The sequence below is a fragment of the Homo sapiens genome, chromosome 1 (assembly GCF_000001405.40).
Source record: "Homo sapiens chromosome 1, GRCh38.p14 Primary Assembly".
In the NCBI taxonomy this organism is placed as follows: Eukaryota; Metazoa; Chordata; class Mammalia; order Primates; family Hominidae; genus Homo; species Homo sapiens.
The window spans coordinates 246,491,014-246,516,036 of record NC_000001.11 but is presented as its reverse complement, the minus strand read 5'-3'; the positions used below and the strand labels follow the sequence as shown (position 1 = coordinate 246,516,036).

The window sequence follows — 25,023 nt, the reverse complement described above, 5'->3', positions numbered from 1 at the left end:
GTTTCCTTTAAAGACTAATTTCCTTCAAGCCTCCTTGCTTTGTGCTAATAACTCTTTGTTAAGCCCTATTCTACACAGCTGTTAGATATAAAGGAATAAGTACATTCTATGTCCTCGTACTTCAATCAGGGTTATCTGTGCTGGACGTGCTCACAGGCAGGTCCCAGCTTGAAGCCTGTGCCCCTTCCTTATTTGGGAATGTTATTACTTTTCTAAGTCTTTTCATAAGCAGCTTCCTCTTTTCCTTTGTTCTCCATTGCTTTCAGCTATTTAGAGACATTTTAAATTATTAGCCAGTCAGATTTAGTTTAGATTGTATGGCCCAGCTCCAGCCAATGGAGACAGGACACAGTAGCAGGGACAAGCTGCATAAAGGATAAAAATTGCTTCCCTCTTTTATTCAGGTGTGCTCTCACCATTGTTCCATCTGTGAGGAGCACCCTTTCTGCAGAAGGTAAAATTGCCTTGCTGAGAAAACTTTTTGTCTAAATGCTGATGTTTCTTTGTGGTACTAAGGATCAAGCATTCTGTTTCTAAATAAACATTTTACTTAACACACATGAAACATGCATGCCACATTCACTGCTTGATTCATCGTCACTCACACACAGAGGCCATGGGGACAACCTTCAACATGGGAATGGGGAGAGGATGGGTGGCCCTCCCTTCAAAGGAAAAAAGACTCAGTGAGAAAAGTGAATGAGCCAGTGATGCCCACATGAACGTCAGTGGATCTTAGTTGCATTTTGCTAAGGGAAAGAAACCAGACCCAACAAGCTACCTCTGTAGGGTTCCAATTAATAGGCCATTCTGGAAAAGGCCAAATCACAGGGACAGAAAACACGTTGGGATGGCCAAGGGCTGATGGACCGGGAAGAGGTTGGCTACATAGGGGACACCCTGGAGACTTGGAGGATGAAGGAATCGCTCCAGGAGGGGCTGGAGTGGTGACCAGGAGACTCTGCACATTGGTTTAGAACCATGGAGGTACTGTACACCCCAAAGACTGAACTGGTGGGTGTGCAAACTGAAAAAATAAAAATCAGAGTGTGATCAGTCAACTCACTATACAACTGGGATATCTGCATTTCACAGATGTGGATTTTACTGAAACTTTTTTTTTTTGTTTTGTTTTGAGATGGAGTCTTCCTCTGTCACCCAGGCTGGAGTGCAGTGGCACGATCTTGGCTCACTATAAGCTCCACCTCCCAGGTTCACACCATTCTCCTGCCTCAGCCTCCTGTGTAGCTGGGACTACAGGCGCCCACCACTGCACCTGGCTAATTTTTTGTATTTTTAGTAGAGACGGGGTTTCACCATGGTCTCGATCTCCTGACCTCGTGATCCACCTGCCTTGGCCTCCCAAAGTGCTGGGATTACAGGTGTGAGCCACCGCGCCTGGCCTGAAACATTTCTTAAACAACCAAGGTCCTGAAGAGCTTGTGACTTATCTGGTGAATCATCTGAACCTGAAACTGGATTTGTTGTTAGGGTTTGTAGGCAAAGTGAAACTAAAAGCGTCTGCACAAAACAAACGAAAGCCCCTTTTATCTCTTTCCTAGGCAGCAGGAATTATTCTACATCTTCCTGGTATATTTGGCATATAACCCCATGAGTATTCCCAGGCAGTGACGTTTCTGGGCCATATTCCCACGTTCGTGGGCGTGGGTGTCTGGTAGGGGCATCGTTGTTTCTTTCAAAGTCAGTATTTGTGACCCATCAGGATATAGTAGATAGGACTCCAGCTCACCGTTGGCATAAATCTCCAAGCAAGGGAGGTGGTCTCAAGGGGTCAAACTGAGACAAAGAAGTCAGGGCCCCAACTACTAGTGTCACCTGGGCCTGACCACCACTTTTCATAACAAGAAATGACACCCTCCTCCTGGGGCTGCCCCAAAGCCCAGGAGCTTGGTAGTGTCACATGCAGGACAGTGCTCTCAGGAAACATTTTGGACAAGTTGCTGAAGTGCCTGATGGACATGGCTCTTGTCAGAAAATAAATTTGCATCCTGAGGAAGCCTCTTCTTCAGAGGAAGCCTCCCCAGTCACCTCTGCCCTCTCCGATGACATGAGTCCTCCCAGGTGACCTCAGCCCTCCAGGAGATGTCCTTCCATGGTGACTCTGGATCTTGCAGGAGGTGGGCTACCGCAGGGACCTGAGCCACGCTGCTGCCTTGTTTCTCCTTTATGGGCCTGGGGAGGATGCATTCTGGGCACTGGCCCAGCTGTTGGCTTGTGAGAGGCACTCCCCACAGGGTAGGTGAACAGCTGCCCCCCGACCTCATGCAGCCAGACCCGGGGACAGCCACCCTAGCCAGATGATCTCGACTTTCAGCAAAGGTACCTTCCTTGTGTCACCAGCTTGTTGGGAGCCTTTAGGATGTCTCTGCTGAAGGTCCCACAGGAGACCATGGATGAATGGGGACCCCCAGACCCTGAGTCAGATGCCTTTCATCCCCATCAGCAGAGGGCATCTCATCCTCGCCGTGGCCGCCCTCTATGTCCTGGAGCCACGCTCTCCAGCTCGAATTCTATGCAGCTGACTCTCCCCTCCCTGAGAGTCCTCCTGGCCTCCAGCTGGCTGGGCTTCAGCTGCCCTTGGTTCCCACAGGTGGGCTGACAAAGCCCAGATGGCAGCACCTCCCCATCCCATGTCCCCTGGCCTGACCCCACTTCCAAGAGACAACCAGGGGTCCCAGCACCCACCTTGTTCTTTCTACTCTCTGTTGTGGCCTCAAAGTCAGGCCTGCCCTCCCGGCACCCTGGCCCAGGAGGCCTCCCGGAGCACCTCCAGCCAGGCTCCAGGGGATGTTCCCACCCCTTCTCCCCAGGGCCAAGGCCACATGGTGGGGTCACAGATGGGAGGGTGGGAGGCCTCGGGGTTCGGGGGCCTCTGCAGCTGCCCAGTTCTTCCAGCTGACAGCTCCACATCTTGGGAGCTGGCTCTGGTTTCATGATGGGCTGGGGGCGTCTCAGGATTCTACAGCCCAAATAGCACAAGGGTCCAGGGGCTACAAGACCACCAGGAACACGTGGTACCCACGTCATAACCCAAGACCACGAGGCACCCTGTGTGTTTATGGTCCCCTCGGCTCTTTCCCAGAGGCCCTGCATCCCGTAGGGCTGGCTAGAGACCCCCATGGGACTGATGAGAGGCTGAGTCCCAGCCAGGGCCTGACCTGGGATGTGGGGTTCTCCATGCGTTTGGAGTTGGGTTTCCTTTCCCGCCCTGGAGGAGACAGAGGCACAGGCACTGGGGCCCACCTCCTGCAGAGCAAGGCTAAGGGCAGTGTGTCCGCTGGGAGTGCGGGAAGGGGAAGGTGTCGTGTGGAGCCCTGGACACCATCCTGTGTTCTGCACTTGGGGAAGGGTCTTCAGAGGACCCTGGAAGAGGGAGGTTTGGTTTTTAGAGTAGCCCAGGGGGCCCTGAGCACTTCTGTTCCTCCCATCACGACAAGGAAGGGCCATGTGCGCAGGGTTCCTCATTAGGCTGGCTGCTCCAGAGCTTGATGGATGGGGCAAGGAGGCCCAGGGAGACCCTGGCTCAGGGACCCTCTTTGCCCTGCAGTGCCCTGCTCCCCGTGCCCAGGGGTCCGGCTCACCCCCAGCCCACAGGAGGCACAGACGGGGCCCTGTAGGACACACAAGCAAGGCCCCGTGCCCAAGAAGGGTCATCCCACGGCAGAGGTTGGGGCTCAGGCCCAGCCTCATGGGAAGACTGGGGCAGAACCCAACTTGGGAGAGCTCAGAAGCCTCAAGCCCTGGGGAGGTCCCTCTCTCCAGAAGCCATATCCCACTGAAATGAGTGCCCCTCATGAGGAGCTGCAAGACCCTGTCTGACCCAGCCTCCTGGAAGGGTCAGATGACCCTCATGGGGAGGGTCACTGACTCTGGGGACTGAAGTCCCAGTGGGCCCAGCTCGAGCCACCAGCCCCCAGCCTTGAAGGGCCAGGTCCTCCAGTGTCTGCTGTCCCCATAGATCTCTCTCAGGCTCAACCTGCACCTGTGGGATGTGTATTTGGTAGAAGGGGAACAGGTGTTGATGCCGATGGCATGCACTGCCTTTAAGGTTTAATGGAGTAAGTCCACGTGTGCCCAATGGCACTGGGGAGCACTGGGGTCAGACTCGGACTGGCCTGAGGGCAGCTTCCTCACACTGTCCCCATGATCCTCTGCTCTGGCCCAGGGGGAGGTCTGGCTGGGTGGGCTGGGCAGGGCACAGTGACACCAAGCCCACCCCCGACATGTTCCAGATGAAAGTCTGGAGTGTGGTGAGCACTTCCCTGCCCAGGCCACCCCCAGCCACAGCCTCCTATGCACATCTGGACCCCTGGGGTGGCCACAAAAGGATCTGGCACCTCCCAGTGGGAGACGGTTGAGGTGGCAATGAGGTATGGGCTCTGACCCTCCCAGGGAACTCTCCTGGCCTGATGCCCACCCTATCCCTAGAGGGCCTCATGAAGACATCCAGGTCTGGCCCATGGGCAGTTTTGGGGGCTGGTTCTCCCATACCTAGGCCCTGGATGAAGACGCAGCTCTCGGGCACCCTTGGGCCTCTACGAGGAAGCTAACAAGGAAGAATGGGGACCTGCCACCCCCAGATGGGCTTCCATACCAGGCCCCCTCCTGAGTCACCCTCTGGGGCAGTCAATAGTGGGGGAGCGCCCGGGACCCCCAAGCCTACTACCTGGGCCTTCCTCTTGTGCCTTTTCTTCCTCCTTTTCCTCCTGGACTCTAAGAAAGACAATAGGCCCCCGGTCCTCAGGGCAGGTGCTCAGTGCATGTGCACTGCACATGCTGTGCACGCAGGAGGGGGATGTGGGCAAGACCTCTCCAACAAGCCCCCTCCCACTTTCCACGGTGTCCCGCCCCCCCCCAACAGGGCCCTTGACGGCACTGGAGGAGCCAGACCCATTTGTGGGACCCCCCCCACCCCTCCCTGCAAGCACTGACAGCCTCAGAGAGCAGCAGAGGCCCCTCACTCCTGAACATCCCTCCAAGGGTGCCAGGACAACGAGCCTTGAGCCAGGGAGACAAGGGAGTCGGTGTCCCTGACCCCCAGAGCTTTCAGGGCAAGGGCACAGGTGGGACCCCTGGCCCAGAGCCAGAGCCAAGAGTTCAGCCAGGTGTGGGAATGGTCAGTCCTGGCATGGACCGGGCAGCCCAGGAGGGCAGAGGGGGCCCCGTATCTGGGCCCTCTTACTCATGGTAGAGACAGGTCCCCAAGTGAGGTAGCAAGGGGGCTGGGTGACAGCCAAGGCCCCTCCCACCTGAGTTCTGACTGGGGATCATATACCAGGCCCAACAGCCCTGGGATGAGGGCATGGGGCAGGAAGCCCCCAGCCAGCCTGAATCCTGGGGGGCAGTCCCAGGAGCCACCTGCTGTGCCCCGACAGCTTCCCTACCCCAGGTGACACACACCCCTCCCTCTGGGATCAGCAGCCTGCAGGTGTGTCCTCAGTGTCAGACCCCAGGGGCCACCGAGAGACCCTGAGGACTCCGGAGACCCAGGCAGGTGGGGCCCGGCCCAGAAAGGACTCTTTGGGCCCACTGGAGGTGCTGCCTGATCACGTCTGTTTTTCTTTCAGCCAAACCCAGGCAAGGGTCCTCAGCAGCCAGGGCTGTGCTGGCTTCACGTGGCAGGAAGGCCCTCTGCAAGGGGGATGGGCAGGTGCCCCCTGGCCCACCAGCCTGGTTCCAGCGGCCCATTTGGTCTGCTTCCCCACCATGGGTTCCTTGTCCTCTCACACCTGTCCTGGTGGGGCTTCCATGTGGCCAAGGCCCAGGGGCGTGAGGGGGCTTCTGGGGAGCCCAGGGCAGCAGGCCATTCTCTGGGGGACCCAGGACTTATGGTGTGCCCAGCCTGGCCTTGGCTCAAGGAGGACCTCGGGGTTCCTGGAGGTACCTGCAGCGGAACTCCATGTCCCGACTCCCAGTGGACTTGGATGTGGGGGGCCCTTGGTTCCATAATAATTTCAAACAGAGCTGCTGAGCTCATGTCCCTTCTGAATGTGTCCTGGACAGCCCTGGGACCATGGGGCAGGCTTAGCCCCGGAAGCCCATGGGGACCCCCATATCAGGCCCTGCCTAGGCCCATCAGGACTAAGAGGGAAGTTGGGAGATGCCCCCACAGCAGCATGGGCACCTGCATCTGGCCCCCTTGGTGGCCAATGACGGGCATGCCTAGAAGGAGCCAGGGTGGCACCCCACCAGCAATCCCAGACACCTTGGAAAATGCTGTTCAATGAGGAAGCCGGTCCCGTCAAGGCCATGAGAGAGAAAGGTGAGCATGGCATCCCTGCAGCCCAGCCAGCCAGTAGCATGCCCTGGGTCCTTGGTCCCAACCTGTGGAACAGTGTCCCCCTCCCAGGGCACAATTCGCAGGCCAAGAGGGGCCTGGCCTAGACCCCAGCCCTGGGAAGAGCGGGGAACCAGAGGTGTGGTGGGCTCCCAGCTGCAGTCAGCATGGCCATGCAGGGGGCCCTGGTACCACGGAGCTCTGCACTGTCACAATTCACCTCGCAGGGGCCGGCGAGATCCCGAAGCCTCGCAGCAACTGCTGCAGCCACAGCAGGCGCCACCACCACATGCCTTCCAGCCGCCAGTGCAGGGTTTCCCGACAGCAGGGTGTCCTGCAGCCCTCGCCTCAGCGGCTCAGACGCTGAAGGTATCTGTGGTTCATGTTTCTAGTGCTCCCACCAAAGAGAATCACTATGGAGGATGCTCTTGGTCCTGAGGTGAGCAAAACAGCACGCCCTGTGAATGGAGCCGGCTTCTTTCCTGGCCACCATGCTTGCTGGATGGGCCCACGGAGCAAGTGGCCTTGAGACGGGCATGGGAACGGAAGAGGCTCAGCATCCTGCACGTGCCCTTACCGAGGCTCACCAGGCTGACACCACTGCTGAGCGCCCCTCCGTGGATGAGACACTTGCACCCAGTCTCTGGGTTGGCACCATTTCCCAGGAGGACCAGCTGGCCACCTGCTGGCAGGCTAATCACACTGTGGAGGGGGCTGAGATTGGCTTTCACTGCACCAAGCCACAATGTGGACGTGGATTTGCCGGCCCTGCAGTGCACACAGCACTGCTTCTGACCAGGACACCCCATTCACAGCTGGGGATGTGCAGCATTGCGCTCCCACCTCAGGGCCTTGGCTCTGCCACCTCGACTTGGAATGTTCTCAGCTCCCTCCAGGCTTCTAGAAGCATCTGGGACACAGCTCATGGCTGGATAAGCACCCGAGGCCCCACAACCCAAACAAGCTTCCCATCCTCATTTTATTTTTTGTCAAACTTATGAAAATTTATTAAGATATGACTTACATCCCTGGTAAGTGCACAGCTTAAAAGATATTCACAGATGGAACACACCAGCCCCCAGATCACAAAGCCAACCATGCCCAGCCCCTCCCAACACCCCCAGCCCTGAAACCAGTGTTCTGACTTCTGACAGCACCACGAGCCTGCCTTTTGTACTTTACACTCATGGAAGCATAACCACCTTCATGTTTTAAAATAAATGTTTACTTTTGAAATGACTTTAGATACACAGAAAAATTGAAAGGCACTATAGTGTACTCCTACACCTTCCATCCAGCTGCCCTTAATAATGACATTTTGCATTACCATGGCACGTTTGTCCAAACTAAGAAATTTAGGCCGGGTGGGCTGGGCGCGGTGGCTCACGCCTGTAATCCCAGCACTTTGAGAGGCCGAGGCGGGCGGATCACAAGGTTAGATCGAGACCATCCTGGCTAACACGGTGAAACCTCGTCTCTACTAAAAATACAAAAATTAGCCGGGCGTGGTGGCAGGCGCCTGTAGTCCCAGCTACTCAAGAGGCTGAGGCAGGAGAATCGCTTGAACCCGGGAGGCAGAGGTTGCAGTGAGCCAATATCGTACCACTGCATTCCAGCCTGGGCGAGAATGAGACTCCGTCTCAAAAAACAAAACAAAACAAAACAAACCCCAAAAACAAAAAAGAAAATTAAGCTGGGTGTGGTGGCTCACACCTGTAATTCCAGCAATTCGAGAGGTCGAGGCAGGAGGTTCAGGTTCACTTGAGGCCAGGAGTTTGCGACTAGCCTGGGCGACATAGGTAGACTGTCTCTGGAGGAAAGTAAAAAGCATTAGCCAGGCATGGTGGCGTGAGCCTATAGTCCCATCTAGTCAGGAGGCCCAGGCGGGAGGATTGCACATGCCTGTAGTCCCAGCTACTATGGAGGCTGAGGCAGGAGAATCGCTTGAACCCGGAGGTCAGAGGTTGCAGTGAGCCGAGATCTCGCCACTGCACTCCAGCCTGGGCGACAGAGCAAGACTCCGTCCTAAAACAAAAAAAAGTTACAGTGCAAAGTACTAGTTGTGATGTCATGATGCCTGCAACTTTGAAATAGTTTAACGACAATACGTGTATACATAGCTACAGGTGGGGAGAGAGTGACGAGCAGAAATGGCAAAGTGCTAGGTTGTCTGATTTAGGCGGAGGTATATAGGTGTTCACTGCACTGTTTTCAACTGTTCCGTATGCGTTAAAATGATCGTAATACAATGTTAGAGGGAGAAAAAAAACCCCGCCTGTCTTCTGCGCAGTCGCCATGGGCACGAGCCGCACGCGGAGCCTTACGACCACCTTCAGGTCCCACACACTCCACTCCAGCCGTCCCTCCAGACTCCATCTGCGCATGCTCTTGCCCCACCGCGCCCGCCCCGCCCCTCGGGCGTACGTGTGCGCGCAGGGCGCAGGCGCGCGGGTCCCGGCAGCCCGTGAGACGCCCGCTGCTGGACGCGGGTAGCCGTCTGAGGTGCCGGAGCTGCGGGAGGATGGAGCCGCTGAAGGTGGAAAAGTTCGCAACCGCCAAGAGGGGAAACGGGCTGCGCGCCGTGACCCCGCTGCGCCCCGGAGAGCTACTCTTCCGCTCGGATCCCTTGGCGTACACGGTGTGCAAGGGGAGTCGTGGCGTCGTCTGCGACCGCTGCCTTCTCGGGTGCGTAAGGAGCGCCCTCGCCTACCTGAGTCGCGAGCTGTGTGGGGTGCTGGGGAGGGGGGGGCGTCGGGCGGCCGGCAGCCGCGGGACTCCTGCTGGATGGGGCTGCACAGGCAGCTTGGCGGTGCTGCCCCTGACGCGCGTGTGCCCGGGGGCGGGTCGCTGCTGACAGGCCCCGCCCGGACACCCCCCTAGGTTGCCGCAGCGGGGCTGGGAGGGGGCCCAGGCTCAGCCACTGCCCCCCAACCTGGGCTGCGGTGGAAATGGGAAAGCCATTGGGCAGACTTGAGGGGGAAGCGTTGTGCCGGGGATAATTTTGCTGGGAGACGAAAAGTCTGTGTGCTGGACAGTCTTCCTTGGTGCGGCTGTGGAAATCACACGTGGCGGGCGTGGGGCTGGGTGGGAGCTGGGATGAGTATAAATCAGGCTCCCCTGCAGAGGCCCCGCCGGTAAAGCATCAGGCTTGCAGCAGGTGGAAGAATCTTGATGTCTACGGTGCACCTCTGTGGTCTGGGTTGTGTGTGGCCTGGGGATACGAAGAGGAACGGGACCTCCTCAAAGAGCTGATCAAGTGAGAGAGAGAATTACAGTGTACCAGAAGGGCTGAAATAGAGGGGCAATTAATGTGCTGTGGGAGCATCAGACACGGGTCCCCCGTGTGCTGTGCCATTTAATGGCTGTGCAGGCATGTCTAACTCTTAACCACCATTCTAGATGCAGGGATTCACGTGAAGGTGTTTTGGAAGCCTGGACGCGCTGTGCCGGTGTAAAGTGCTATGTGAAAGCAATTTATGGAAATGTGTAACATACATGAATAATAGGAACTGCATTCAGTCAACAAATATTATTGAGCTTCTGTGTGCGAGGAAGAAGAGTTCTATTTTGAGATGAGTGCGATGATTTTGTGCATGGCCGCTTTTCAGACCTGCCAGTCTGAGATTTAGGTGGGTGGAGGTGGGACGGTAAGTGCAAAACTCGTATCTGTAATTTGACCATTGTTCTTACTTTGTTCTCATTTGATTCATAATTCAGGAATATGACTTTGCATTTTAGAGCTACCAAATAATAATTTTGTCTGTTGCTTTCTGAAGTAATGATAACAGCGAAAACATCTGTTCGGGAGAGAGCAGCATCTTGAAGTTTTTGTAAACTGTGTGGTTGAAAACAATTCGTTCCTTTCAAGATAGTTCTTGGAACAGAAAAGTTTTGGAATGAATAAATGGTGACAAATTGGCAATTGAATCATTAGAGCTGAAGTTGAGTCTTGTGACACACGGAATTGTGCATTTCCAAAATAAGCTACACAAACCCTTTGTGGGTGGGATGCTTGTTGATTTACCATACTATTTCATTAGTCTCATTCATTTTTCCTGTTTGCAGTAACTGGGGATTTAAGCAAAAAAGGAATTTAATGAAAGAGTTTTGGGGGAGTTCTCAGTGTTGCTTTAAAGTCTGCCAAGACTTGACTGGGCATCGGCTGAACCAAGTTAGGATTGCACTGCAAAAGTAGCTGGGGCTGGGATCTGGGGTGTATATCACTTCTGTCGCCTGATAATATTGGATTCTGCAGTAGGTACCACGAACACCATAGACACTGGACCCTGGTGCTGCTGCTGCTGCTGCTCCTTGGGAAACTCACTGTTGCTGGAGAGTGATTCTCTCAACCATTCTTCTTTGTGATACTGGCTTTTATTCAAAGTCCTCAGTGAGTGTCTTGGATTGGCTAAACTTAGGTCACTGCCTGCACCCCTAGCGCGAGGGAGGTTGAGACGGTATTTAGCCTTTTTGGCTTTTAAGATAGAAGGCAGGCTCACTCTACTTCCCACCGATAGTTATCCAGTGGGGAAATCAGCAAACATAAACATAGAAAAAGGGATATAAGTAAATGCTAAGCATCTAAACAAAACAAGCTAAACAGATTCTTCATAATGACTGACAAATACTTACTAGTATTTTACACAGACACAAAATATTTGCACTTACTTTGGATTGCCAGGATACACAGTTCACTTGTGTTGTGGTAGTAGTTGCTCTGTTTGAACACTCCCATTTTAGTGGTTATAGTGTTCCAAAGAGCCTGGTTGGGAATCACTGCAACCTGAAAATAGTGTTAGGGAAATGTTAGCGCATTGTTTGATGCAGTTTTCTGCCACTGTTGAATGCCTGTCCTTGAGGGATAAGTTTCTGTATTACTTGTCATCTTGTAAGTAAAATTTGTTTCTCTTTATTCACTGTCCATTGTGAAGTCTTTAAGAATAGTGCATCTTTCAGTTTTTGTAGCCCCAGTGTCTAACACATAGTAAGCCCTTAGTTTTAGTATGAATGTCTGGCAGAATTTTCCTCCTAACTGCCCCTGTCCTTCTGCTGCCTTCCATCTGAATTAAGTATGGAATGAAAATGTTAGTTTGTAGCAATTAACAGTTACATGGGAAAGGAAAAATCAAAATAGAATTAAAAAAACAGATATTGATGATAATTACAGTCATGCACTGCATAACGACATTTTGGTCAGCGAAAGACCAGATACATGACAGTGGCCCTGTATGATTATATCATTTTTTAACTGTACTTTTTCTGTGTTTAGGTACATTTAGATACACAAATACTTACCATTGTTTTACAGTTACCTACAGTATTCAGTACAGTAACACGCGGTGCAGGTTTATAGCCTCAGAGCAGTAGGCAGTACAGACAATACCTGCTAGCCTAGGTGTGTAGCAGGCTGTATGTACAGTCTGGGTTTGTGTGAGGATACACCATGATGTTCCTACAACAATGAAATCACCTCATGATGTCCTTAAGGGATGCACATCTCTACTTCCTTAGGCTCCAGAAACAATGGTTACCAAGTTTTACATGATTTCCTTTGCTCTAGAGCTGTTTTGATTAGTAGCTTTAGTTCTGTATACTTGTTTTTGTTAATGGAGAAAGGTGAACCTGCTTCATGGCTTATCTTACCTTTTTCCTCTCATTAAGGAATGGCTTCTGGTTTTTCCGTGTTGTGCCTGGAAAAGAAAATGAAGTATGTAAGTTGTAGAAAGAGTAAATGGCAATGAAATTATAACCTGAAATCACTTTTTTTTTTTTTTTTTTTTTTTTAAGATGGAGTTTTGCTCTTGTTGCCCAGGCTGGAGTGCAATGGTGTGATCTTGGCTCACCACAACCTCCGCCTCCCAGGTGCAAGCGATTCTCCTGCCTCAGCCTCCTTAATAGCTTGGATTACAGACCACGCCTGGCTAATTTTTGTATTTTTAGTAGAGATGGGGTTTCACCATGTTAGTCAGGCTGGTCTCAAACTCCTGACCTCAGGTGATCTACCCGCCTCAGCCTCCTTAAGTGCTGGGATTACAGGCGTGAGCCGCTGTCCCCGGCCTGAAATCACTTATATTGTCCTTCTGCCGTTGCATGCATTTTTAATTTGATGGAGGTAGAACAGGTTGGTTGACAATTGGGTATGAGTTATGTGTATTTCCCGTTTGCTTTGGTGAGTGCAGCACATAAAATTCCATTGTTATGATTGTATTTGTAAACCTTCTCACTCCCTAGTGTAGTGCTCTAAGTCTAATCTTTTTTATATCCCCAGGGCCTACCACATGGGAGATGTTAATCATTCAAGGATTAATATTTTGGGGAACTTGAAGTCGCTGTATGTTTGTCTTTGGTTTTCTCAAGTTCCAAGTTGCCTGCAGCTTCCATATCAAGAGTTACTTCTGGCAAACTCTAATGATAGTTTCTTCTGTAGGGTAAAGAGAATAGCTCATCTGGCATTAAGGCTGAGAATGAGGCTTAGTGCCTCCCAGGAGGAAGGAGGATGACTTGGAAGTAGACGTGTCATCCCTTTCAGTCCTGGTGGATTGTGGGCAGCGGGGGGACAGAGGTAGGGAAAACAGATTGTGAGAAATATGTGTTCTGATCTTTCTTGGCTGGCTAAAGTTCTAGGGTTAGGGTGGGGATGTTAAATGGGTTGAGGGGACGGTCAGCAGTAGAAGGCCTTTTGCTCTGCTCCTTATGTGGAATCTTGAGAGGAGATGTTATGCAGGTTAGTGATAGGCCAACACGGGCCTATAGCACAGCAGTGGTAGAAGGAAGTGGCTAGATAGTTGAGTTTGTGGTACCAGGGGATTCTGAAATGCTCTCATACCACTGTGAAGGAGGTGGAGGAGCTTATTGGCCTGGTGGAACAGCTGGCGTCATGACAAAAGACTGTGTGACTATAGACTGAATGTCAGGATCACAGACTCCAGGGATGAGAGCCAGCATGACATCCTAAAAGATGAGATGGGACCAGTTCAGCCATAGGACCTGATTACCTCCTTGCAGCAGAGACCAGTGAGGATCCAGAGAAACAACACAGATCCAAGGTCTTCTTGCCACTATTTCTTCTAGGATGTCCGATAAGACCTTGGAGGGAAATCTACCCGAAAGCAGCCATTTAAACCAGCCCGGGTAAGGAGTTAAACAAAGTCTGAGTATTAACTGGAAGAGATTGAGATATTGTTTGACAAGTTTTAAATTTCCTGGATATTTATTAGAGTAGATATTCATGAGGAATATTAGATTAATTATAGAAAAAATGGCGCATATTCAGGAGACAGATTAGATGAGTTATAGAAGATAAAGCAGGCTGGGCATGGTGGCTCATGCCTGTAGTCCCAGCACTTTGGGAGGTCGAGGCAGGTGGATCGCTTGAGCCCATAAGTTCAAGATGAGCCTGTGCGACATGGCAAAACCCTGTCTCTACTAAAAATACAAATAATTACCTGGGTGCATGCCTGTAGTCCCAGCTACTCAGAAGGCTGAGGTGGGAGAATCAATTGAGCCCAGGAGGTGGAGGTTGCAGTGAGTGGTGATCACGCCACTGCACTCCAGCCTGGGTGACAGAGTGAGACCCTGTCTCAAAAAAAAAGAAAAAAAAAAAGGCAGCTGCATTTGAGTTGCAGTGTGAGTAAATGTGACCAGGCAATAAAGGGTAATAACTCACTGTGTTTGGTGAGATGATGGAATGTCTCTTGGCCAAGGACTGAACCTGGGGTGGAGATGGAAGGGAACATCTTCATATATGAGGGTAAGAAGAAGAGGTGCCAGAAAAGGCAACAGCAGTGGTGATTGAAAAGTTTAAGGACCGCTAGGGAAGTGGTTGCTAAGTGACTCAGCCTTAGGAGAGATTGGAAATAGTCTTCTAGGAGAGAAGCATAAATTGCCTCGTGAAATGTAGGATTGTTGAAAAGTGCTGAGGGTCTACTTAAAACTTGTGTTTGTTTATTTAAAGTGGGAACAGTTAGTTGGGTCATGTTTCCTTTCTCTCCCAATTGCCAGCTGCTTGGCTATGAGAACTGGATTTACCTAGGATTGCTAGGTTAGCATGATGGACGGAGAGAGGGGACGGGAAGTTGAAGTTGTAGGCAAGGGAGGGTGTAATTGTGGATCATGGTTTCTCAGGTAGGGAATGAGGTCGTAAGGAAGGTGATGGCCAGTGAAATGTGGCCGAATCAATGGATTAGAGGTCCTCATGTGGTCAGAGAAATGGTGAGTGGTCAGATAATGGGTTGACTTGATATGTACATGCTTAGAAGTAGTGTGTGTCTTGATACAACAGGTACGGGGTGTGGCAGAATGTGGCCAAGGTAGGGAGTAAGAAAAGATTTTTGGTCAGGAAACCCAAAGGCTGAGGTTAGTTGAATTATCTAAATAATGAAGTTACTAAGAATGTTAGACATTGGCATGAATAGTTTCAGCAAAGGCAGAATTCTCACATTGGCTAAAATAACCCAAGGTTTAAGGGTCAGTAGAGTAGAAGAGGCTAGTGGAGACAAGGAAGCACTTACCTCTGTGAAAATAATGTAAAAAGACGTTACTGGGTTTACGGCTGATTTTGTAAAATATGGTTAGCACCAGGCGTAAGTGAATTGCTGCAGTGTTACAGACTCTTCCTTGGAGGCCCTGAAGGTCAAGCAACTAGCAAAATCATTTCAAAGAGCAGAACCTTGAACGATGGCTTGAAGTAGGATTTGCAACTTCCTGGGCAGTGGCTAATGGGTCTAGGATTTGAAATAAGGTGGAAGAATTGATAATAATGTGGTTTGGGAAAGGACTTTATGGATGTGACTACATTTTTCTTTTTAAGTGGGAGTCATAATTCCTGTTTCTTCTACTGCTTCCTTTTCTTCTGTAACGAGGTTTGGGAAAGGGCTTTATGGCTGAGCCCTGGTGAAAACATTTGGTCCATGTGAATGCCACAGCAGAGGGCGTTCTTAATCAGACAGGATGACCTGCTTTGTGGATAGCAGTAAGTTGTTCTTCAGACAGCCTGGTGCTTGCTCAAAAGGCTCAAGAACAGAGCAACCATGGGGACGGGGATAGAGGCTGGTGCCTGGAACTCAACAATACAGACTTCCCCTCATGATAGCCATGTGGCTTCTGCTGGTACAGAGTGCCCAGTTTGCTGCCAGTAGTAACTGGTCCTGATTCCCCAAATGGCAACACATCTTCAGGACCAGCCAGCCACCTTGTGTCGGGTTATTATGGTAGAACTTTTTGTCATGGAGGAGTCAGTTGGAATATCAATTTTTTTCCTGTACTTGGATTTGTCTTCCCTGTGTGTAATACCACCATCTCTAAGATCCACTGAGAATCTTTGATAGAGCTGTGATATTCCCCACAAGGTTGCCTCTGACCTTCCCAGAAAGAATTAGAGCAATGGGCTAATGCTTGTGGTTTTGACTGTTTATGTTTGCCGATTTCCTCATTGGAAGACTATTGGTGGGATGTAGACCAAGTCTGCCTTCTATCGAAAAAGCCAAAAAGGCTAAATACCTTCTCAACCTCCCTTGCAGCTAGGGTGCGGGCAGTGACCTAAGTTCGGTCAATCTAAGATGCTCTCTGAGGACTTTGAATAAAAGCCAGTATCACAAAGAAGAATGGTTGAGAGAATCACTCTCCAGCAACAACCAGTTTCCCAAGGAGCAGCAGCAGCAGCAGGGCCCAGTGTCTGTGGTGATGGTAGTGCAGAATCCAGCATTATCAGGCAACAGAAGCGATACAGTCCCCAGCCCCAGCCCCTGCTCTTAACATACTCTGGCATTTAAGGCAGCTGGTGTTATAGACCAGTGGTTCTCAGACCTTTTAGTCTCAGGACCCCTTTATCCTTTTACAAATTATCAAAATGGATTTGATAGGGATTTAAAAAACGTTATTGAGAGTGCTGATGATGTTTTGTTTATGTGGGTTTTATCTATTTATATTTATTGCATAAAAATTAAAACTAAGTTTTGAAAATACCTATTTAAACATAAATTTAAGGCAGGGCGTGGTGGCTCACACCTGTAATTCCAGCACTTTGGGAGGCCGAGGTGGGCAGATCACATGAGCCCAGGAGTTTGAGACCAGCCTGGCCAACGTAGCGAAACCCCGTCTCTACTAAAAATACAAAAATTAGCCAGATGTGGTGGTGCATGCCTGTAATCAAGCTACTTTGGAGGCTGAGGCAGGAGAATCGCTTGCACCTGGGAGGTGGAGGCTGCAGTGAGCTGAGACTGCGCCACTGCACTCCAGCCTGGGTGACACAGTGAGACCCTGCCTCCAAAAAATACCCAACAACAACAAAACAACAATAACAAAAATATATATATGTGTGTGTGTGTGTGTGTGTGTGTATATTTGATGGTTTGGTTACTTAAAAAATTGTTACATATATGTAAATTTATTATGTTGTAACAATTTTTTAAGGAATCAAACTATATTTTCTTTTTTTGAGATAGAGTCTCGCTTTGTTGCCCAGGCTGGAGTGCAGTGGTACAATCTCGGCTCACTGCAACCTCTGCCTCCTGGGTTCAAGCGATTGTCCTGCCTCAGTCCCCCGAATAGCTGGGACTATAGGCCCGTGTGTATTTTTTAAAACAACGAAAATTTAATGAGAATTGCATTGCTTTACATTTTTTTCATGTCTCTCTAAAGTCTGGCTTAATCAAGTGGTGGCTTACACCTGTAATCCCAGTGCTTTGTTAGGACGAGGTGGGAGGATCATTTGAGGCCAGGAGCTCACAACCACCTTGGGCAACATAGGGAAACTTCATCTTGTTAAAAAAAAAAACAAAAAATTATCTGGGTGGGATGGTGTGCACCCTTGTAATCACAGTTACTTGGGAGGCTGAGGTGGGAGGATCACTTGAGCCTAGGAGGTCAAGGCTGCAGTGAGCCATGATCGTGCCACTGGACTCCAGCCTGGGGGGTATAAGCATTCAGACCGTAGCGTCTGGTTCATCTTATATTTTTTCTTTTTAAGATAAGCAAGTATATATGTGTGTTCTTTTTTTTTTTTTTTTTTGAGACGGAGTCTTGCTCTGTTGCCCAGGCTAAAGTGCAGTGGTGCGATCTCGGCTCACTGCCAGCTCCGTCTCCCAGGTTCACACTATTCTCCTGCCTCAGCCTCCCGAGTAGCTGGGACTACAGGCACCCGCCATCACGCCTGGCTAATTTTTTGTATTTTTAGTAGAGACAGGGTTTCACCATTAGCCAGGATGGTCTCGATCTCCTGACCTCGTGATCCACCCGCCTCGGCCTCCCAAAGTGCTGGGATTACAGGCGTGAGCCACTGTGCCCGGCCTATATGTGTGTTCTTATTTTCCATTCTTAGTTTTGCACTTGCTTCATTATCTTTGTGTCTACTGGAAATCACTCTACTATCAGTTCATGGAGATCTTCCTTATTCGTTATAGCTCCATAATGCTCAATTTTATGTATCCACTGTACTTTCTAATTTCCTATGTGTGGATATTTAGGCAATTTCCAGTATTTTGCAATTGTGCATATTGCTCTAATGAATAACCTTGCATGTGTGTATTTTTATATTGTTGCTGGTGTATCTTCAGGGTAGATTCCTCAAAATGGGATTTCTGGGTCAAGGTGTAAATACCTATGTGGGGTTGTACCATTTTGCATTCCCACTAATGATGTATGTGAGTACTTGTTTCCCTTAGCTTTGCAGCCTGAACTTTTGAATTTTTGCTAAGCTTATGGGTGAGAAGTGGGATCTTAGTATAGTTTTAATTTGCATTTAAATTGCATTATGGGTGAAGTTAAACATCTTTTCATGTGTTTAAAGGCCATATTTATATCTTTTTGTGATTTGTCTGTATTTATCTTTTGCTCATTTTTCTTGTTTTTTCCTTTTCTTTTTTTTTTTCCTCTAGAGACTGGGGTCTCCCTGTGTTACCCAGGCTGTAATGCAGTGGTTTGATCATAGGTCACTGCAGCCTTGAATTCCTGGGCTCAAGTGATCCTCCCTCCTCAGCCTCCAGAATTTTCTGAGCAGCTGAGACCACAGGCGTGCAACATCATACCCAGCTAATTAAAAGAAAATTTTTTTTTAGAGATGAGATCTCCCTAGGAGGCTGTCCTCCCACTCACTTTGAGATTCTTTTGGGGGTTCTCTGATTTGATTTTACATTTAACTGTATATGCTACCATCTGTAGCACCTCGTAGATCAAGTTTCAGATGATTTTCCATTTCTATCTGGGAGTTCCCCATTATCTCTTAATCAGATGTGATGCTCCCTCTGGTGGACAATGGAGTAAAAAGCATACAAATATTTTTCAGAAAGGCAACTTATTTTTTAGCCACTAAAACACTGTCTCTGAGTGGTCTCCTTCATGAACCCCCTTTCCAAACTGTTCTTAGCCTCTGACATTTGCCATTAACTCTTATTTTGAATTAGACCAAAAAAGGGCAAACAAGTTAAATTTTGTCATAAATATCTATATAAAACTCACTAATGAAATTTACATGGTATAGTGGCTTATTGATGATGACCATGTTTTTCACAATAAGAGTCGAAACCTATGTTTGAAACTAGTAGTTTTACTTGGAGTTGGTATGATCTGGAGGGAAAATTGTGCTTGTTGATCTCCTTACAGTTTATTACTACAAGAAGATTCTGTGTAAATGAGTTTTTCCCCTAGTTTTTGACATAATAATTACTTGTTAGTATAGAAAAAATAAAGGCCACTTGTGGGATAACCTTGTGTTTTATATCTCATTCTACTATTTGAAAAGTGAAAATGGACAGAGCCATTACTAGTTGTTTAAATATAGTACAATCAAGAATGTTTCCTTTTTAAAGTTTACTTGTTGCCAGTTTACTGTTTTATACACGGCCTATTCATGTTTAGTTTTAAACATTTAAAAGCATTTATAACAGTAGGCTAATATTGATCTTTTTGTTTGTTTGTTTGAGACAGAGTCTCACTCTGTCACCCAGGCTGGAGTGCAGTGGTGTGCTCCTGGCTCACTGCAGCCTCAACCTCCTGGCTGAAGTCATCCTCCTACCTCAGCCTTGAGTAGCTGGGACCACAGGCATGCACCACCATGCCCGGCTAATTTTTATATTTTTTGTAGAGATGGGGTTTCACCATGTTGCCCAGCCTGGTCTTGAACTCCTGGGCTCAAGCAATTCACCTGCATCGGCCTCCCAAAGTGCTGGGACTACAGGCATGAGCTACCGCATCTGGCCAATACTGATTTTTAAAATTCATTACTTGGGTTGAGAATTATAATGTAAGCAAGTCCTCTTTTTGTTGTTCTTATAGCATTTGCAGCAAAAATAAATAAGAGCAACCACAAGGGGATAAGATAGATTGATAGACTGGGCAGATTTGAATATATAAAAGTTAAAAACATCCTTATGTTAATGAACCATCTTATAATGAAAAAAATCAAGAAACTGGCCAGGCGTGGTGGCTCACGCCTGTAATCCCAGCACCTTGGGAGGCTGAGACGGGCAGATCACGAGGTCAAGAGATAGAGACCATCCTGGCCAACATGGTGAAATCCCATCTCTACTAAAAATACAAAATTAGCCGGGCGTGGTGGTGTGCGCCTGTAATCCCAACCACTTGGGAGGCTGAGGCAGGAGAATCGCTTGAACCCGGGAGGCAGAGGTTACGGGGAGTTGAGATCATGCCACTGCACTCCAGCCTGGCGACAGAGTGAGACTCCATATCAAAACAATAACAACAACAACAACAAAAAATCAAGAAACTGACGAAAATATTTCAACATAAAAAGGAATATTATTATTATTATTATTATTTTTTGAGGTGAAGTCTCACTGTCACCCAGGCTGGAGTACAGTGGCATGATCTGAGCTCACTGCAGCCTTCGCCTCCCAGGTTCAAGCAATTCTGCCACCTAAGCCGCCTACCTCCGCCCTCTGAGTAGCTGGGACCACAGATGCGTGCCACCACCCCTGGCTAATTTTTTTTTTTTATTTGGTATTTTTGGTAGAGATGGGGTTTTGCCATTTACTCAGGCTGGTCTTGATCTCCTGAGCTCAAGTGATCCCCCTGCCTTGGCCTCCCAAAGTGCTGGGATTACAGGTGTGAGTCACTCGCATGGCCAAAAAGTGTATATTTGTAATATGTAAAAATTGTTCATAAACTGATAAGAGAAAGCAACTTACTTCTGAAGTAACTAACTAGTTCTTGGGACTTTTTCCCTCTTTGTGTTTGTCTTTGAACAGCTCTCATCTTTAGATTTCCTTTGAGAAATTCCCTTGTAACTCGTTGGTTCTCGACATTGGCTACACATTGAAAGCACTCGGGGAGATTTAAGAAATGCTGGTGCATGGGTCCTGCCCTCAGAGATTCTCATTTAATTTGTCTGGAGTGTGGCTGGAGCATAGACCTTTTTTTTTTTTTTTTTTTTTTTTGAGACGGAGTCTTGCTCTGTCACCCAGGCTGGAGTGCAGTGGCATGATCTCGGCTCACAGCAAGCTCCGCCTCCCGGGTTCATGCCATTCTCCTGCCTCAGCCTCCCGAGTAGCTGGGACTACAGGCGCCCGCCACCACGCCTGGCTAATTTTTTGTATTTTTAGTAGAGATGGGGTTTCACCGTGTTAGCCAGGATGGTCTCGATCTCCTGACCTCGTGATCCACCCGCCTTGGCCTCCCAAAGTGCTGGGATTACAGGCGTGAGCCACCGCGCCCGGCAGAGCATAGACATTTTTAATACTCCCCAGATTATTATAGAGCAGTCTGGGTTGACAGCTCCTATCTTTCTTTTCCATCTTCACTGACTCCCTGCTTCTCTGTGCCTTTATATCCAAGGGCTAAGGTAAAATTGCCACAGCTGGGATTAGTCCAACTGCTTATAATATCTATAAATAATTCTGCATGTTCAGTTTTAAACTGGACATTGACATTAGCATGTTCTGTTTACATTTAAATAATTGTCATAGGTAGGACAAACAGGAATTATGTTGAATTTTTAATTGGCATGGTTATGATAGATGTTTCTCACAAATGAATTTGAGTATATAAAAATTTAATCCTTGTTAGCATTTTTTAGCTGCTGTGTTTACGTCTTGTTAGAAAGTAGATGTTAATTGGAAAGATTTATGTTGTACCAATGATCAAGAAACCTTGGGTAGTAGGTAACAGTTTCTCTGGGCAGTTTAATTTTTGAGTTTTTGACTCTAATATTGGATGCTCAGTTTTAGTGGTGAAAACTTAAGCATCTTACAAAAAGACTTACTTAAAATCTATGAATCATTGGTATTTTACACATTTACCTGTGGAATTTAAAAATATCCAGATGTCTGAGCAACATCCTTAAGGGTCCCATAATTGTTTAAAGCTTCACAGGTAATGCTAATGCATAGCCAGAGTTGAGAACCTTTGGGAAAGGAATAAAAAAAAAGTCATGATACCAGTGAAATAAGTGGTAGAGATAACAACTATGGAGGAATAACTAATTGGGAAATGTGCATACATTGTTTAGTAGACCATTATGACTGCAGCGAAGTGCTGTTTGTATAGATGATAGATTATAAGTTGGGATAGCGTCTGTGATACAGAAGGCCTTGCTGAGGTTAAGAGATTTTGAACTTTATTTTCTAGGTACAACTCTTGAGGAGCCCATAGAGATTTTTGGGCTGCAGTATGAGGTGCACATGGAAGATTTGTGTAGGAGTCCTGATTTGGGTGAATTTTGTGATGAGGGAGAGAAGTGGAAAGACTGGAGATGAGGATTCCAGTTAGGAGAAAATGTGCGTTATTCTAGATGTGAAGTGATGAAGGCCTGAGCTAGGGGACTGGTAGAGGGCCTGGAACCAAACATGTTGAGGAGTTCACCCACGTTGTTGACCGATTAAAGGGCAAGGAAGCAGTGAAGGGTGAGTGCTGGGTTTTGAGCTAGAACTATTGGAATAGTGGTGACAGTACTGCTCTGTGGTGAAGGGTGAGTGCTGGGTTTTGAGCTGGAACTATTGGAATAGTGGTGACAGTACTGCTCTGTGGTGAAGGGTGAGTGCTGGGTTTTGAGCTGGAACTATTGGAATAGTGGTGACAGTAGTGCTCTGTGGTGAAGGGTGAGTGCTGGGTTTTGAACTATTGGAATAGTGGTGATACTACTGCTCTGTGAAGTCATTGGTGTGAGTGTGATCTCCCAGTAGTAAGTTAGGCAGCAAAAGATAGCATTGCTGAGGATCAAGCTTAAGAGAAAAAGCTTCTCAGGATTGGGAGACCATAGAAGACCTCCATAAATGGGTTAATAGTGCCCCTTTTTGGCCTAGTTTTTACTGCCTGGGTAAGTAGGGTAAGTAAGTTAATCTGAGTCTCAGTTTTGCCTTTTTGAAATGAAGGTATTGAGTGATTTCTGACATCCTTTTTAAGTTTTCTGCAGTTTTAGAAACCATTTATGTATTTGCTACAGCTGCCTCCTCCTACTCCTCTTTCTTTTTATTTATTTATTTTTTCAGAGAGACAAGGTCTCACTATGTTGTCCAGGCTGGCCTCAAACTCCTGGCCTCAAGTGATCCTCCTACCTCAGCCCCCCTCTCCTCCCCCCCAGTAGCTAGGACTACAGACCAATGTGCCTGGCCACCTCCTCCTTTTTTTGTAACAGCTTTATTGAGATATAACTCATATACCATACCATTTGCCTATTTAAAGTGATATAAAGTAACATTAACTTTACCCTTTTATTTATTTAAGTGTACCCTTCGGTGGCATTAAGTACATACTAATATCACCATAATCAACTTTAGAAAATTCTTATCACCCACAAAAGAAACAATGTACCTTAAGGCTGTCTTCCACTGTAATTAAACAGAGGAAAACATAAGGATTAAACCCTTGAATTGAGGCTTTACCATGTACCTGCCTTGTGAATTTACAGGGCCAGTTAGAAATCCCTTCCAGTTCAAACCGGCTCCTTGCAGTGCTGACCCACGAGGTGGCAGTGTGGGAACACTAGGAAGGAAAAGGGCTGGAGGAATCCACCTCTATATTTAGAAACAGGCTGTACACAGTTAACATCTATTTGTAGTGGTACATGTAGTTGTTATCCAGGCATCCTCAGAGGATCATAGATTGAAAGTCTCCTAGCTGAAGATTTTGCTAATGCAGAGTAGTGGCCTTACTTGTTGGTCATGTTTCCTAGTCATCTAAACCTGTGTTAACCTTCTTGCCTGGTTTCTATCGTTTGTTAAATAGTGACTCTTTCATCATTTAAATGACTCTTGCTGTGTCTGGGAATCGTCTGTCTAGTCTTTCAGCCATTTTTTGTTTCTCGCTTACCTTTTTGCCCCAGTACTTTCTTGGGTCCCTTTCTACCCTATCCATCGTTTGTCCTTTTTCCTCCTAGTCAGGAGCCATCGGCGTTCTCTGAGATACCGGTTCTTAGCTTTAGCTGCACACTGGAATCACCTGGGGAGCTTGGAAAAATCCTGATGCCTAGGCTACACTCAGTACTGATCGAATCAGAGCCTTTGGAGGTGGGACGCAGGCATCATTATTTTTTAATCTCTAATTACCTACTAAATATTTTTCTGTCATCATCTTTTATTCAGTCTGAAAAACATGGACTAATTTAACTAGATTAAATAAAAATATAGATTTTAAATATTATAGATTAGATTTATAATATTTCAGTTGGATGCTATCCACTCAAGCGATGTATGAGTCTCAACTTTTTCTCTTGAATTGCCTACTAACAGTTTTTTTTATTCTTACTTGGAAATGTCACTTATATTGCTTTCTTTCTTCTATTCCTACTGCCACCATCCTAGAACAGGCTCTAGCTTTAGTTCCTGCCGTCCAGCCAGGGAGCACATCGGTAGTTGAACAGAGTTGCGTTCAGACATGATTACAGAGTGGTCTTGTTTTCGTTTTGATCCATCACGGTCACAGAGTGGCCTTGTCTGAGGTCCATGTTCTGTGAAATTGTGTATGTTCAACAGAAGGACACCAGTGCCTCCCTGTGAGGGCCTGGCCAGCTTGGAGCAACACCTGCCTACCTGATAGTATCGGTCAGTTCCTGCAGCTCCTCTCTAGAGGACCGATGGTATCAGCCAGGGGCAGCTCCTCTCTAGAGCTGTGTCTTAGTTGATTATATCTGTTTGCAGATCCTCCCTACTGCAATCTGTTCTATGAAGTGTTGCCATATTAGTAGTCTTCCTTAAATATGCCTTTAATGACTGATTCTTATTTCTCTCTCTTTTTTTTTTTTTTTTATTTGAGACGAAGTTTCGCTCTTGTTGCCGAGGCTGGAGTGCAATGGTGCGATCTCGGCTCACTGCCACCTCCACCTCCTGGGTTCAAGCGATTCTCCTGCTTCAGCCTCCCCGCTAGCTGGAATTACCGGTGTCCGCTACCATGCTTAGCTAATTTTTTTGTATTTTTAGTACAGACGGAGTTTTGCCATGTTGGCCAGGCTGGTCTTGAACTCCTGACCTTAGGTAATATGCCTGCCTCGGCCTCCCAGAGTGCTGGGATTACAGGCGTGATCCACCGCGCCCGGCTGACAGATTCTTATTTCATCAAGCATAACTAGTGGTCCTTTCTAATCTGGCCCAACTCTGGCCAGCTTTATTTCCCAGTGTATCCTGTGTTTTAGTCTGACTGGTCTCAGTGCCTTGTGAACCGGTCATACTTACTCTCACTTTGGTGCTTTCCCTTGTCTTATCCTCTTTATGAGTTATGTGAGTTGGGGCAAACTACTTAACAGCTCTGAACTTTGTTTTCTTAATCTTGAACCCTGCCTC

At 48.0% G+C, this 25,023-nt stretch overlaps 1 protein-coding gene across 2 annotated transcripts in view, besides 5 other annotated features; it reads left to right on the top strand.

Moving 5' to 3' along the window:
• Positions 7,899–8,131: a silencer, noted in NCBI's record as "fragment chr1:246671208-246671440 (GRCh37/hg19 assembly coordinates)". NCBI's record gives its function as "represses an EF-1alpha promoter that drives an FKBP-Casp9 reporter gene in an ReSE screen in K562 erythroleukemia cells {active_cell/tissue: K562}" and the evidence as "EXISTENCE:reporter gene assay evidence [ECO:0000049][PMID:32094911]".
• Positions 8,621–8,800: a silencer, noted in NCBI's record as "silent region_2034". NCBI's record gives its function as "represses an Ori minimal core promoter by ATAC-STARR-seq in GM12878 lymphoblastoid cells {active_cell/tissue: GM12878}" and the evidence as "EXISTENCE:reporter gene assay evidence [ECO:0000049][PMID:35858748]".
• Positions 8,758–25,023, top strand: part of SMYD3 (SET and MYND domain containing 3) — a 757,933-nt gene continuing 741,667 nt past the window's right edge. For both annotated transcript variants that reach the window (NM_001375962.1, NM_001167740.2), the window contains exon 1: positions 8,758–8,983. In NM_001375962.1, coding sequence (NP_001362891.1) covers positions 8,820–8,983 — 164 coding nt within the window. In that variant the 5' untranslated portion in view covers positions 8,758–8,819. The remainder of the gene's footprint in view (positions 8,984–25,023) is intronic.
• Positions 8,806–9,306: an enhancer, noted in NCBI's record as "H3K4me1 hESC enhancer chr1:246670033-246670533 (GRCh37/hg19 assembly coordinates)". NCBI's record gives its function as "activates a minimal SCP1, AML or CMV promoter by ChIP-STARR-seq in naive H9 embryonic stem cells {active_cell/tissue: H9 hESC(naive)}" and the evidence as "EXISTENCE:reporter gene assay evidence [ECO:0000049][PMID:30033119]".
• Positions 9,071–9,120: a silencer, noted in NCBI's record as "silent region_2033". NCBI's record gives its function as "represses an Ori minimal core promoter by ATAC-STARR-seq in GM12878 lymphoblastoid cells {active_cell/tissue: GM12878}" and the evidence as "EXISTENCE:reporter gene assay evidence [ECO:0000049][PMID:35858748]".
• Positions 9,307–9,807: an enhancer, noted in NCBI's record as "H3K4me1 hESC enhancer chr1:246669532-246670032 (GRCh37/hg19 assembly coordinates)". NCBI's record gives its function as "activates a minimal SCP1, AML or CMV promoter by ChIP-STARR-seq in naive H9 embryonic stem cells {active_cell/tissue: H9 hESC(naive)}" and the evidence as "EXISTENCE:reporter gene assay evidence [ECO:0000049][PMID:30033119]".